The following is a 15,437-nucleotide window of genomic DNA, read 5'->3' as shown; positions in this document are numbered from 1 at the left end:
AGTGATCTGCCCACCTCAGCCTCCCAGAGTGCTGGGATTATAGGCGTGAGCTACCGCGCCCTGCCCTAGGGAAGTTTAAAGCCAATTCTATCTCGTCTTTTGCAGTACAACAGGTCCTCAAATAACGTTTCATTCATTGTTGTCTGCTTATGATGATGGGGAAGAAAAAAAAGTCGATTCTCAGCTGTGGCCACTCTTTGTGTGGAGTTTGCACATTCCCCACATCTGCATGGGTTTTCTCCAGGTATTCCCCTTTCTTTCCATATCTCAGTGATGTGCATGATAGGTTCATTGGCGTATCTACAGGGTCTCCATCTGAGTGAGTGTGGGGGTATGCGAGTGCACCCTGTGATGGGATGACTGTCCTGGCCAAGGGTTTCCCTGTGGAATAAGTGGATAAATAATGATCTTCCTTGTTTTTATTAATCTACCTTAAATGTATGTATAGCTCACATTTATTTCAGTGTTGAATATTAGAAGTATTTTAGGTCATTATTTAGAAGTTTGGTGATGTTTTTGTGACCAGAAAATATGCTGCAGGAACTTAACCTTTGTTTATGTCAATTAGTCTTTGGTAAAATTGGTTTCATTATATATTGTTTGACTGACTGAAAGTCGCAGTTTCTAAGACCTTATTGATGATGGTAAGGACTGACTGTATGTAGAAATACATGGACTGTACAAATACTGTTTGTAGAAATTGAATAAATTTAGAATACAAGGCCTACTTTTGGCTTCACCTTGCTTTCTTACCTTTATTTACTTTGCTTCCTGTTTCTTCAATTTATAGTTTCTTTTTAAATGAAACAAGTTTATTTTAACTTTCTATATTAAGTGTGTCTTAAATTACTTTAATCCTTCTTGGAATAAGTACAAAGGGCTTTGAAAATACCGCCTATTGTATTGTTGCTCATAAACGAACCTTAAGATTTTTGGAATAAAACTTCTAAATAAATGTAAAATAAGTTAATTCCAAATTAAGTGAACAACTTTCACTTAATTAAAAGGATTTGGGAGCATAGGTGAATAAATCCAACATTGCATGAAACATCTTTTTTTCTCCCTACAAGAACTGAAAAATACATTGTTGTATTTCATTATTTTGTAGTTTTGTTTTTTTTTGTCAGTAATTCCTAGTTCAGAGCTTGGTTTAGAAAAGAAGAACATTAGGGCTTTCTAAGTTGGAAGTCATTTAATATAGTCATGATTTTTGTGGTGTCTTTGGCTACAAGGTCAGTATTTTAATGCTAAGATTTCTTGGAGAGTGAAAGTTCTTTTCCCTAGAAATTGGGGTCAGTTGTGGTAAAGATACATGGAGAGTTAGAAAGGTATATAATGATAGGTCTCATCATTTTGAAATTGTAGAGCAGTATTAAATAACTTTTATCCAAGGAATATAAAGTTTTGTCATCCCAAACTCAATGCTGAGCAAGTCATTATTTTGTGACCCAGTTCTGAGGTGGAGGTACTCATTTCCTGTACCTCACAGTTCCAAATATGTTACTTTGGTTTTTATTTTATTTTTATATTTTATAGAGTTAGGGTCTCACTATGTTGCCCAGGCTGGTCTTGAACTCCTGGGTTGAAGTGATCCTCTCGCCTTGGCCTCTCAAAGTGCTGTGATTACCAGCGTGAGCCACTGCATGTAGTCCCAAATCCCATTCCTTTGTTATTTCGTCCCTGCTCTTCTCAGAGGAGTGCTTCATAAGAAATGCCCAGAGACTTTACACAGTGGGAGTTCGAGAAGCTCAGGGGAGACCTCCTGGACATTTGTTGTTTGCCTCCTCAGCAACCTGTTGCCCCCTTCCAGGAACAGCTCCTATCTTCATTTGCCACTTTGCACTCTCTACTCCTCACCTGTGTGCTTAGGTAAGGTCCCAGCGCATATGATTAGCTGACGGTGTAATTATGACAACATTGCTGATGATGCCTTCCCTTGGACATTTCTTCCACAAGTTCTGATAGACATAGCTGGTTTTGAAAGGTCTGGTAATCCATGCAGCCATTGAGTGGGAAAGCAAGCAAAATGTTAAATACACTGTAGAAATAAAGCCTCATGTTTTATAAGTTGAGTATTGTCAAGTGTTTGGAAAGAGCCCTTTTAAAACTATGACTATGCTTTGCAACACTTTGTAATTAAGCTGGATGATGCCTTGTTGGGGTTTTACAAGTTAGTGGTATTCATCTTCATGTGAATGGACAGAGTTACTTCTTGGACTTCTGAGAAGTAGGGATCAAAGTGGGGAAGAAGTGAGTGGAATAATTTTTTTCTTACAGAAAAACCCTTTTAAAGATATTTGTATGCACTGAGTCACAAAAATGAGACAGGCAAGACTGTTTTTCCTTTGCCTTGTGTTTGGTCTTGCAGCATGATCTACTCCAGTGAAGTCTGATTGTGGCACCTTGCTTGTCCTTACCTTGAACTTCAAATCCTTGAACCTGATCTGAGGAGTAGGATATAAACAGCACCCCAAGGTCTTGCATGTGGCCAAATATTGTACTATAATTAGTAAGAGTTATGGCCTGTCATTGCCTTTCCTGAATGATGGCTGGACAGTAAGAATTAGCGCTTTTTTAGCTCCAGGTTTTCAATGGTTAAGAGAACAGAATCATATTATGTGTTTGTTCTTTGAAAGAATGATTGGAATGAATAAACACTGGGTAAGGGAAAATTTAGCATTTAACTGGTTTTCCACTTGGCTTTTTTAACTCCGGGGAGTTTGGTGAATTAGAAACCAGAACTACAAACTGGAATCATATTGGTGTGTTCTGTCAATTGCTTTGAAAACAGACTGACTTTATATTTGATATATATTATTTCAACTTTCCTTGGGCCTTAGTTTGTAAAGCTGTAAAATAAGAATGTTGAGAGGAGAATTAAGAGTTTAATAATGATATTGGAGAGGAGTGTGAAATAAATGCAGAGACATATCAAAGGGGGATGGTGGGAGGGAGTGGATGTACAAGCCCAGCTGCTTTTATATGAGGAAACAGCATTATTGCGGGTGGGTGAGTGGGAGGCAGCAAATCTTTTTGTATAATAGTTCAGGGATGGGTCTGGGGCATTACAACATAATGTAAAGATACAGATGGTAAATTGGTATGTTGGAAACAAGTCTGACCCAACATGGGCCTGGGGATCCTTCACTGAAATAACATAACTTTGTAATGAATTTCAAAGAAATATAGAATAGAAATCTGTAATACATTATATGCCCGAAGTGAGGGGGGGAAGAAGGGGAAACAGGAAAGAATATTCAATGAAACTCCAAAATTCTACCAAATGCAACATTACTTATATCTATAGAGTTTTCTATAAGAAGAGTTTTGGGACTTGGAGGTTAAACGGTGGATTTAAAATATATAGGTATATGTGTGTGTGTCTAGCTACATATATATGTATATACACACACACATACAGTCAACATTCTATATCCATTGGTTCCACATTCATGGATTCAATCACAGATCAAAAATATTTTATAAAAATTGCATCAGTACTGAACATGTACAGTCTTTTTTCTTCTCATTATTCCCTAAACAATGTAGCACAATAATTATTTACATAGCGTTTACATTGTGTTAGGTATCATAAGTAATCTAGAGATGATTTAAAGTATATGGGGGGATGTTCATAGGTCATATGCAAATACTATACCATTTTATATAAGGAACTGTTTGAGCATTTGTGGATTTTGGTATCTGCAGAAGGTCCTGGAACCAATCCCCCACAGATACCGAGGGATGACTGTATATAAATATGTATAGACATAAATCTATAAATATCGATAGATATCTGTCTAGCTATTTAGCTAGACTTCTTTAAGGTTTTAATTAAAATTAAGTCTTCTGAGAAATAAATTGGAATAGTCTTTGGAAGATTTAAGAGTATCTTTTCATGCCTTTTTAAAATGCCTGAATATTTTCTACAGCAACATGAAATCATCTCATATAATAATATAATATCATTTGAGCAGCTCCAAAGGTTCTTCCCTTCATGCTTCCAAGTTTTTATTGAAAATATATTTGCAGCCAAGAGAAAATTAATTTTTTTATTATTAGAAAATGTCATTCTTTTTTCTGATCTCCTGACCTATTAATGTCTTCTCCAAAAATGATTGCAATCATTTTTAGATATCTTACTTCAGAAATCAGCATCAAAAGTTGTTGAGCCTACTAATTCTTCCCCTAACTCCATTTTTCTCCCTGGCTCTTCTTTTCGATAAAAGAAGTCATTTAAAAGTAATCTGTAATTTAGTATCATTATAATTTTCCACCTAAAAAGTATAACTAATGTATATGCAGAAATTTTAAGGCCTTTTGTAATCTGGTGCCACCAAACCTACCCTCCATCATATTAGTAAATCCTGCTGTTGAAGTGTCCTACCTCATCCTCATCCTCTGAGAGAGTTTTTAACCCTCCACCCCAGAGTCTTGATACATTTCTAATTAATGCATGAAACTTTTCTTGACAATGCCTAGCCACCAAGATTGTGCCATTCCATTTCCCTTTACGTTGTAAACTTTAAAAGTAACACAGTATTTTTTAGTGTTCCACTCATTTGTTCTAGGTGTAAGCACAGTATTGTATAGTACAGTGGTATTATATAGTATTAACATATATGTGTGCCTAATACTCTCTTCTTTGTTTATTTTTAACTGTGAGCAATGGCCATATTTTACTCTTAGAACTGTGCACCCAATGGACCATACTGCCAGGTCACAAGACATTTTTGCAATTCATGAATTTATCTGTATAATGCCATTATCAGAAATTATTAACTTTGAAATACTAAGCTAAACAAAAACAATACATAGATGTTCTAGCTTCAGAATTTGGATTTTAGTAATACTTGGCAATTTCAATTTGTCTTGACAACATGAAAACTTATGCAGACTTTCAAATCAGTAAAAAAATCGGGATTGAAATGAGCAATTCTCCTAATATAAAAGTTGATTTTGAAAGAGTTAAGTATACACTGGAAGCTGGAAGCTGGAAGCTAGAGCTTTCTCTCTTGCACGCTTGCTATCTCTCTCTCTCTCTCTGTCAGACTCTTCAATGAAATCCAACATTTGAATTTTGTCTAAAAACGTATTATTGGGGCTACTGTTATTAGTCATTTATATCAATGACTACCTTTAATCTTTCTATCTAAATGATTGTTTACCAATGTGGAAGACTAATTGAAATTCAATACCTAAAAGTATTTCTGGGCTAGTATAATGTTATGTAATCTATGTGGATTACTACAGCATACTAAAAAGGTTGTTGGGCAAGTAAATACCATGTTTAGGATTGTGCTGATTTGTGTATAGTTCATTTAAAGTCAGGGAATCAATCCAGTGACCTTAACATTGGATAGCAAAAGAGCCTCCTCCATAGTCCAGGGAAACGTTTATCTCAGTTGGAGACCTCCCTTAAAACTTAAATACAAACAAGACTGGTTCAAAGATGACCAGTATTTTAAAGTGTTTTAAGAGAGGCCTCTTTAAATTCTGGGGGAAAGTGCCAGATTTTATTTGTGCTGCTGAATGTCTCCTTTTAGAAGGAAAGCTAAAACAGACACAGTGACAAATAAAAGGAGAGGAAAATAACCAGTTTTGAGTGTCTGCTCTGTATCAGACATCATGCTAGGTGTTGAGACAGATCCTCTTAAATTCTTAAAATAGCTACCTAGTTTGAGTACACTTATCATATAGAAAAAGAAATGAAACTCCAAAGGATTATATCCATGTGCCCTGGGTCACAAAATCAGTAGTGGTGAAGCTAATATTCAGATTTAAGTCACCAAGTCTCCAAATACCAAACCTTTCCAGCACATCTGACTTGATAGAGACGTTATTAGATGTATTTTTCAGCTCTGTTTTTAGGTACATAAATATTTAGGATTGGTAGGTCCCCTTGATGATTTTATCATTGTGCAATAATCTTTGTGCTACTATCTTATGCCCTGAAATCTACTTTGTCTGATGTTAATATAACTACTCCAGCTTTCTTTTGGCTAATGTTAGCATGTTAACTTGTGCCTTTATATGTGAAGTGCTTTCCTTGTAGACAGCATATAGTTTAGTCTTGCTTTTTTAATCCAATATGACAATCTCTGCCTTTTAATTGTGGTATTTACACCGATTGGCATTTAATGTGATCATTGATGTCCTGAGATTTTAATCTGTCCTCTTGCTATATGTATTCTATTTGTCTTATTTGTTTTTTGTACCTTTTCTTCTTTTTCTGTCTTCTTTAGTACAATTTTATTTTAATGATTATAATTTATTTCCTCTCTTCGCTTATCAACTGTAAGTCTCTTTTATTTAATGATTACTTAAAGGTTTTAACATACATCTTTAACTTGTCACAGTTTACCTTCAAGTGATATTACACCATTTCACATGTAGCATAACAAGATTACAATAATATACTTCCATTTCTCTCCTTCAAGCCTTTGTGGTACTGTCGTACACTGTATTTATATAAGTTATAAGCTCCAGAATATATTATTATTTTTGTTAGAACAGTCAATTGACTTTTAAGGTGATTTAAATAATAGCAAATTCAAAAAAAAATATTTACCCATGTAATTACGACTTCTGGTGCTCTTTATTGCTTTGTGTACATCCACATTTCCATCTGCCTGAAGGGCTTCCTTCACTATGTCTTGTAATGCTGTTCTGCTGGTAGTGAATTCTTTCAGCCTTTGTATGTCTGAATAAGTTTTTATCTAACATTCGTTTCTGAAAGATATTTTGGGGGAGGTAGGGGGAGGGAGATCATCAGGATAAATAGCTAATGCGTGTGGGGCTTAATACCTAGGTGATGGGTTGATAGGTGCAGCAAACCACCATGGCACATGTTTACCTACATAACAAACCTACATGTCCTGCACGTGTATCCTGGAACTTAAAATAAAAAAAAAAGAAAGATATTTCTACTGGATGTAGAATTCTAGGTTGATGTTTTTTTTTTCTTTTTCTTCCAGTGTTTAGAGACGTTTCTCTACTTTCTTGCAGAAATTGATTCTTGATTGTATTATTTATGAGAAAAATAATGTCATTCTTACCTTTCTTCCTCTGTACTTAATGTGCATTTTTCTCTTTTTGTTTGTTTGTTTTGTTTTTTTTTGTTTTTTTGAGATGGGGTCTCACTCCGTCGCCCATGCTGGAGTGCAATGGCTTGATCTTGGCTTATTGCAACCTCTGCCTCCTGGGGTCAAGCGATTCTCCTGTCTCAGCCTCCTGAGTAGCTGGGATTACAGGAATCTACCACCACACCTGGTTAATTTTTTTTTTTTTTTTTTTTTTTTGTATTTTTAGTAGAGATGGGGTTTTACCATGTTGCCCAGGCTGGTCTCGAACTCCTGAGCTCAGGTAGTCCACCCGCCTCAGCCTCCCAAAGTGCTAGGCGTGAGCCACCACGTCCAGCCTTTCTCTTTTATATTTTTAAGAATTTTTTCCTTAGCATTGGCTCTAAGTCGTTTAATTATGATGTATAGTTTTCTTCATGTTTCTTATGCATGTGCTTCATTAAGCTTCTTGGATCTGTAGATTTATGTTCTTATCGAATTTGGAAAAATTTTAGCCATTATTTATTCAAATGCTTTCTTTGTCCCTGCCCCTCATTTGGAGACTACAGTTACTCACATAATAGGCCACGAGACATTGTCCTCACAGATCACTGATGTTGTGTTTAAAATTTTTTTCTCGGCCAGGCATAGTAGCTCACACCTGTAATCCCAGTGCTTTGGGAGGTGAAGGTGGGAGGATCCCTTGAGGCCAGGCGTTATAGATGAGCCTCTGAAACATAGCGAGACCCCATTTCTACAAAAATAAAAACCTAGCCAGGCATGGTGGCATGCACCTGCAGTCCTAGCTACTCAGATGGCTGAGACAGGAGGATCCCTCGAGCCCAGGGGCTCCAGGCTGTGGTGAGCTATAATCATGCCATTGCCCTCCAGCCTGGGCAACTGAGCGAGCAAGACTCCATCTCCAATAAATAAATAAATAAACTAATTAATTTTCTCTGTGTTTCATTTAGGATAGTTGCTAATTTTATGTTTTCAACTTCATTAATCTTTTGTTCTTCAGTGTCTAATGTTAATCCCATTAGTAGTTTTGTTTGCTTTTTCCATATCACATGATAGTTTTTACAAAATCTCTAAAAATTTGATTTTGGTCTTTCTAATGTCTTTTAATGTCTCCATTAAATTTTTGAATATATGGAATACAGTTATAATACTATTCCAATGTCTTTGTGTGCTAATTCTAACATCTGTATTAGTTCTGAGTCATTTTAGATTGGTTGATTTTTCTTCATACAAAGGACTATATTTTCCTGCTTATTTGCACTTTTGTAGAATTTTTATTGTGTATCTGTGGATTTTACCAGTTTAGGTAGCGAATATTTTGAATATCTGTAAATACTCTTAACCTTCCTTCTGGGGTGCAGTTAAGTTAACTTGATTCTCTTGGGTCTTGCTTTTAGGTTTTGTTAGTTGGGGCAGAGTATCATTTAGTCTAGGGTTACTTTTGCCTTAAAACTGAGGCAAACTTTTCTCTCCAAAGTGTCCCACGAATTAGGAGGTTTTCTAGTCTGACTAATGGGAACAGGCCCCATGTGAATTTCAGGTACTGTTCCTTCTAATCCTTCAGAGTGGTTCTTTCCCCAGAGTCATGTCGTTTCCTCACATTTTGCACTGGTTAATGTTTTCTGGGATACTTAAAGTAGAACCTTTGCAGATTTCTGTGATTCTTTCTCTTTGTAGCTTTTTCCTCGCTGCTGCTGTAAACTCTAAGCTGCCTTGGTCCCCTCAGACTCCCAACTCTTTTTCTCTCAGCTCAGGGAGTTGGATGGGCTCTATTTTGGTTCCTCCAGTGCTCCATGGCCTGGACCCTCTATCAAGGGAGTAAGCTGGGGCAATCATAGGGCTCACATCATATGTAGCCCCTCTCTCAAGGAACATGTTCTTCAATGCCTGAAATCTGCTGTCTTGAAAAACCATTGTTTCATATATTATCCAGTTTGTTGTCATTGTTTTGAGACAGGGTCTCACTCTGTCACCCAGGCTGGAGTGCAGTAATGAGATCATGGCTCAAGTGATCCTCCCACCTCAGCCTCCCAAGTAGCTTTTTTGTTGTTTCAGGCAGTGGGTTAAATCCAGTTTCTTTTGTTCCATCTTGGTTGGAAGCAGAAGTATTAGGTAGACATGTCCATTGAAGGGTTTTCTTTTCTTCTCCAATTTGGCAGCATTTTTAGGAAAGTATTTCTTTTTATCTTGGTTTTTACTTTTTTATTACTGACCTGTATCTTTTATCATAAGAATACAGTTGTCCTAAATCTATTTTTTCAATTGTCTGAATTTTCTTAAATGATTCAAGGCAGAACAAATGAAGAATGCTTTCTTTTGAGAATTCCAAAGTTGTATAGATGGTGGGTATACTTGTATAAATTTGGTTGATTATTACCTTTTATGTTATATTGTGTAGATTATAAGGTAGAATGGGCTAGGATTGCTTTTTTTCCCTGCCAGTAAAAGTTCACAGAATCCAGTAAATGCCAAGTATATCCAATAAAGAAACAAACACAAATGATAAGGATGTTTTGAGTTGACAAGCTTTTCTGTACAGTTGTTATTTAAGGGATAGGGTATTGAACAATGATTTCTCTAAGCAGCAGTTCCATATGCCATGACTGTATAAACTTATACATTATAGCTAAAGGGAACTTGCATTCTTTCCACTCCATTAAAAATGTACTGTCATTTTCTTAACTTCACGTTATGAGGCGTGGATTTAACAAACTTTTTTGGAGGGTTTGGCAAACGGCATTTGACCTATATTCCCTCATTTTTTAAATGGTAGTATTTGCTATGGCTTTGCTTTTGATGACTGTTAGTCAACTGTTTCTCTCTTGAACAAAATGGTGTGCTCTCACCAGCCTATCACACATCAGACTTAGAGCCATGACATTTGAATTTATTCATTCCTAACTTGTTATTTTAAGAATATCCTCAGATATTATTGGGCAATTACTATCTTTCAGGCAAGTGCTAAGTTTCAAGCATGTATGGTGAAAAGACTTGATCTTTGTTCTCAGCCAAGGAGCATTTAGTGACAAATAATCATTATAACACATTGTGATAAATTATTTGCTGAGTTGTTCATGTGTTTTACAAATATTTACTGAGAATCTGCTATGTGCCAGATATTAATACAGGCTGTGGGTTTATAGCAGTGAATAATTCCCTAGTCTCATAGAGCTAACATTTTAATGAGGAGAAAAATGATGATGTGGAGGGAGTGGGAGAGTGGAGAAATGCTAGGAAGATAAATTAGAGTAAGAAAATGGAGCTTGTCAGTGGAAGGGTGTTGCCTTTTTACAGTGGTCAAACTCTTGTTGTAAGGTGACATTTGAGCCAAGACCTTAAAGAAATTGAGAGGATAAGTCACTCAAATATCTGGGGGAAAGTGTTCTAAACAGAGGCAGATATAAAAATAAGAAAGGATGAGTGTGCCTGCTGTGACTGAAGAGCCAGAAAGGGTCCAGAATAGCCAGTAGAATGAGGAAGGGGAAAATGGCAGGAGGTGAGCTCAGCAAGGCAGAGGTGAGGAGAAGCTGTAGCTGGACTGAGGAACCAGATCACCTGGGGCTTTATTAGCTGTGAAAAGGATGTGAGTTTTCATTCTGAGTGAGAATCTGAGTAGAGGAGAGACATGAAGGGTTTTGGGGTTAGGAGGATCCTTCTAGGCATTGCCCCATGAAGCAAGGGAAGAGGCTCATGGTCTGAGGGCTGGGAAGAGTTAGAAACTGTAGCAATAGACAAAATGAGAGATGGTGAGAGCTTGGGCCAGGATAATTGTAGTTGTGGTGGTGTGAGATGGTTCAACTCAGGATTTATGTTAAAGAACCTATCCAGTGAGTTTGCTCAACGATTGGATGTAAGGTATGATGAGAAAAAAAAAGGTTTGGGGCCTGAACAACTAGTGCAAGAGAGTTGTATTTCACGAGGTGAGTAAGAACGTGGTGGGATCAGGGGATTTGGGTAGGTTAATACCCAAAGGTAGGTAGAGGAAGGAAGAACTTGATTTTAGACCTGCTATGTTTGAAGGACATGTTAGACACCAATGGAGATGTCAAGTAGACACTTGGATTTATGAGTTTAGAGTAAGAGATGAATTTTGGGCTAAAGATAAAAATTTACTAAGACATAATTTAAGTAGAAAAACTTACATACCTTGATGAGTGCTAGATAAAAATATCTAAGATCATCCAATACAGATCATTTTTATGGAAATGGAGAACCTAAAGCTCAGAAAAGTAGAATGAGGTGCCCAAGGACACAGGTTTTTGGCAGAATTCGTGTCATTTGATTCCTTGTCTTCTACTATTTCCAGTCCAGCACGCAGTGTTTTATTCATGCTGATATAGTTCAGAAATGGGGGGAACCTTACTAGTACAAAAGCCAGGATAGTAAGCAATGGTATAAGGCAGGGTTTAAGAGCACAGACTCTGGAACAAACTTCCTAGGTTTATTCCTCATTCTCCCACATACCTACTGTATGACCTTGGTTAAATTATATAGCTTCTCTGTGCTTCAGTTTCCTTATCTGCAAACTGCAATTGATAATAATAGTATGTACCTCACAGAGTACTTGGGAACTTAATTGACAGGACATAAGTAAAGCATTTAAGTCACTATGTTAAGTGCTATCCAAGAGAAGCTGCAGCTATGATTTATTATTGTTATTAATAATTATTATTCTAAGTCACTCATTGGGAAATCTTCAGAAAGTCTTTTCTTTAAACTTAGTTTTCCTACCTCAGATGCAAAATAATAAAGTCTTCCAATTGCTTCCTCTTTAAGATTCTTATTTCAGAGTGGAAGCCATGAGCTTTCATTACAACTTCTTGGGACCCAGAATTAGCTTATCTAGGGGGTATTTAGATACTATGGAGAAGTCATATTGAGGTCAAATATTCTCAAATCCCCTCTATCCAGGGTTGCCTGTTCATTCCCTGACATTCGCATCTACTGGTGCTTGTAATTGGTTGGTAGCATGCTCTGCTCTATTGGAACAGTGTGTTCTTTTAATTGATTGCTTTCTGTGAGAATGGCTTATCTGCCTTTTTCATTAACATTCATGATTCTGTGACACTTCATTCTCTCCATTAATAGCTTTATGGATGTCTTTTTAATAGAGATTTAATCTTGCCTTTAACATTTTAGGCAATGTCTTGGTTATCTACACTGTAACATCTCATTGTTGTGTGTTTATGTTATTAATTCATCATTGTGTACTAATCAAAACAAGTAAGCTCCTGTTTTTAACACCCCATTCTTTGTGGATAACAGTTGATTTGTGGCAGGTTCTAGATGAATTGAATATTATAATTTATGAGTAACATTGGTTAATTTTCTAGAGAGAATAATGAGATTATTGATTAAGTTTTTTTTTTTTATAAAGGAGATTTAGTAACAGTGTCAGTGAAGAAGTGTGAAAGTCTCTCTTTATTTCACTGGTTAGTGTGTGATTATTTTCCTTTCTCTGCCTGTCTTAGTTCATTGTCTGTTGCTATAACAGAATACCTGAGACTGGATAATTTATAAAAGAAAGAAGTTTATTTAGCTTGCAATTCTGGAGGCTGGGAAGTCCAAGATGGAGTGGCCACATCAGGTGAGGGCCTCATGCTGCGTTATAACATGATGGAAAACACCACATGGTGGGAGAACTTGCGGGCGGGGCGGTGCAAAAGAAACAAGCACGAGAGGCTGAGCTTGCTTTGTAACAACCCGCTTTCATGGTAACTAACTTACTCCCATGAGATTAACACACTCTCATGAGAAAGACATAAATAACTCTTCATGATCAAATTACCCCTTGAAGGCCCCACCACCTCCCAACCGTGCCATGATGGCAATCACATTTCAACATGAGTTTCAGAGGAGACAAACCATATTCAAACCATAGCACTGCCCGACATGCTAAGTGTCAACCTTGAAGTAAATCAAGTGTGTTAACAGAAGCAAGTTATCCCAAGATGATTGGTCATGCAGATGGTAAGCAGTTGGACAGCAAAGATTTAATTTTGTATCGATTATGCATATCAACTAAATACCATTTTTTTCCCGACTTATTTGCTCTGTTTTTTTGTCATTCGTGGTGGCATTCATGGAACTTCTACTCAGCATGTGTTAGTCTTCTAGCCTCTCCTCAGACTTTTATTAACCTTTGCTGTCTTGGATGTGAATTTTGTTCAATATTGTTTGGTAGGTTCTTGATCCTTCCTCAATGTCTGCAAGACACTCAGAATATCCTCGTTCACACTTTCAAGATGATCTTCCTATCCTTAGGCAGATAAGACATGAGCTTGGAGCACAATGTCTTCGTCTCCTGGTCACTGATTCCTCTGGACTACAATGATGTCTGTTCTAGTAAGTAGAATAGGGTTCACTAAATGAGGAATAAGCATCCTCAGATATTATAACTCTGTCGCCTTGCAGATGACTATTATTTTCGTTCCATCAAAGGACTGGATAATCTTTTTTCTTTTTTTTTTATTTAAGAAATGATTTGCTGTGTTGCCCAGGCTGGAGCGCAGTGGCTGTTCACAAGAGTGGTAGTAGTACACTGTAGCCTTGAACTCCTTGCCTCCAGCAGTCCTCTTGCCTCAGCCTCCTGAGTAGCTAGGACTACACGCGTGTGCCACCTTGCTTGCCTATCAACTGGAGCATCTTCACATTGGCAGCTGTATTCCCCTATACGCCCATAGGCTGACACTCTCATTCCAGTGGGGTACAGCTTGACTGTCCAGAAGTACGCTATCTGATGCAAAAGGGGCAGGCTGGGTCCAAGCAAATATCTTCTCTTTGCCATAGAATCACAGAATTTTAGGGTTGTGGGGGGATGGGGTCATGGAAATAATGTATGTTTGGTCCTTCATTTTATTGATGAGAAAAGGAAACTCATAAGTGGGAAGTATCTTTTCCAAAATGTAAGTTAATAACAGAACAGGAACCACTTACTAAAAAGTCTTTTTCAATCCTGTGTTACCCCCATGGTGAAATGGAACAAGAAACAGATGGGTAGAGTAGAAATGGTATTGGGTTTGGAATCTGAAGATGTGGATTTTATGCCCAGGTTTATTGTTACACAGTAATTATATGATTTGGCATAATTAACTTCCAGCATTTTTGAAATTGTTTTTTATCCATGGAATGGTGAGTTTGTCAAAGACCCCACCAACCTTCATCTGAAATTTGTTGTGTATTCATATACATTGAATTACAGCATATTGTTATGCTTAAAAATCTGTTAAAGGTTGTGATTTGATTAAAACGTTGGCTAATATGGAAATATACCATGACCCCATTTTCTTCTCTCCCGTATTCCTTCAGGTCAGAGGAAATACATTTTTAACTTCATAATTGCATATTCTTATCTACTCTGACAGCTACACCTCAGGGTCTCACCTCTTCTGAAAAGAATTATAATAATTGGGCATTCTGTGACCTTCCTGTCACAATAGATGGGTATTGGAGACTCCAGAAGGATTTTTATTAGTAGTGTTCAACAGTATTTCCCTGTTAAACCCAAGAAAAATAGTTCATCAGACATCTCAACTCAGAGCTGCATCTGAGCCTGAGCTGGTATATGTTATCATTGTCTTACCAAAAAATTATATTTGATCATTTGTCAAAAACGTAAAAAAAAAATTACCTCTAAATCCGTCATCCAGAGATAACTACTTTAGACACTGCATATACTTAGACTTTTTAAAGTCTTTTCAGACATTGCATGTATTTTGACATTTTAAATGCATGTTCATAAACATATACATATGCACAAATTTAATGCACAATGTAATTACATACACTTTTTTTAATGGAGTAATACTGCATGAACTATTTTAGAATCTGCTCCTTTCATTTAATGATACTTTTTTTTTGGTTCACTCTGCCTTAGCATCTACCTATTTATTGAAATGTGTATTGGGTCACTGTGCCTAATAATGTATCTATTTATTGAAATGTATTTGTGGGTTCACTGTGCCTCGGCATCTTCTGTACTTACTGAAATGTGTGTGTTGGTTTACCGTGGCTCATCATCTACCTATTTTTTGAGCTGTGTGTGTTGGTTCACCATACCTCAGCATCTGTGTTATTTATTGAAATGTCTGTTCTGGTTCACTGTGCCTCCACAACTATCTATTGAAATGTCTATAGTGGTTCACTGTGCCTTGGCAAATGATACTTCTTGATCAGTTTTTCATGCAGTTAAATTTTCTCCTACAACATCCTTGTTAATGCTGTCTAGTATTTCTTCTGTTTGGGGCAGAATGATTTATTTAATTAAGCCATTATTATTGTACATTTTGAAACCAAAGTACAGTGTCTACATGTGGTAGAATTTCCCCTGTATCACTTAAATAAGAAGGTGTTTCT

General features: G+C 36.8%; 1 protein-coding gene across 14 annotated transcripts in view; it reads left to right on the top strand.

Annotated features, from left to right (window-relative positions):
• Positions 1–15,437, top strand: part of DOCK4 (dedicator of cytokinesis 4) — a 480,290-nt gene that overhangs the window by 150,709 nt on the left and 314,144 nt on the right. The window contains exon 1 of one of the 14 annotated variants that reach the window (XM_017012822.2): positions 8,227–13,427. The exons of 12 other annotated variants lie outside the window; for them this stretch is intronic. In XM_017012822.2, coding sequence (XP_016868311.1) covers positions 13,358–13,427 — 70 coding nt within the window. In that variant the 5' untranslated portion in view covers positions 8,227–13,357. Of the gene's footprint in view, positions 1–8,226; positions 13,428–15,437 lie in introns of those variants that run through there. One more of the 14 variants, XM_047421079.1, reaches the window with a different exon arrangement.

Source organism: Homo sapiens, chromosome 7 (assembly GCF_000001405.40).
Source record: "Homo sapiens chromosome 7, GRCh38.p14 Primary Assembly".
NCBI classification, from domain to species: Eukaryota; Metazoa; Chordata; class Mammalia; order Primates; family Hominidae; genus Homo; species Homo sapiens.
This window is presented reverse-complemented; position numbering and strand designations above follow the sequence as displayed.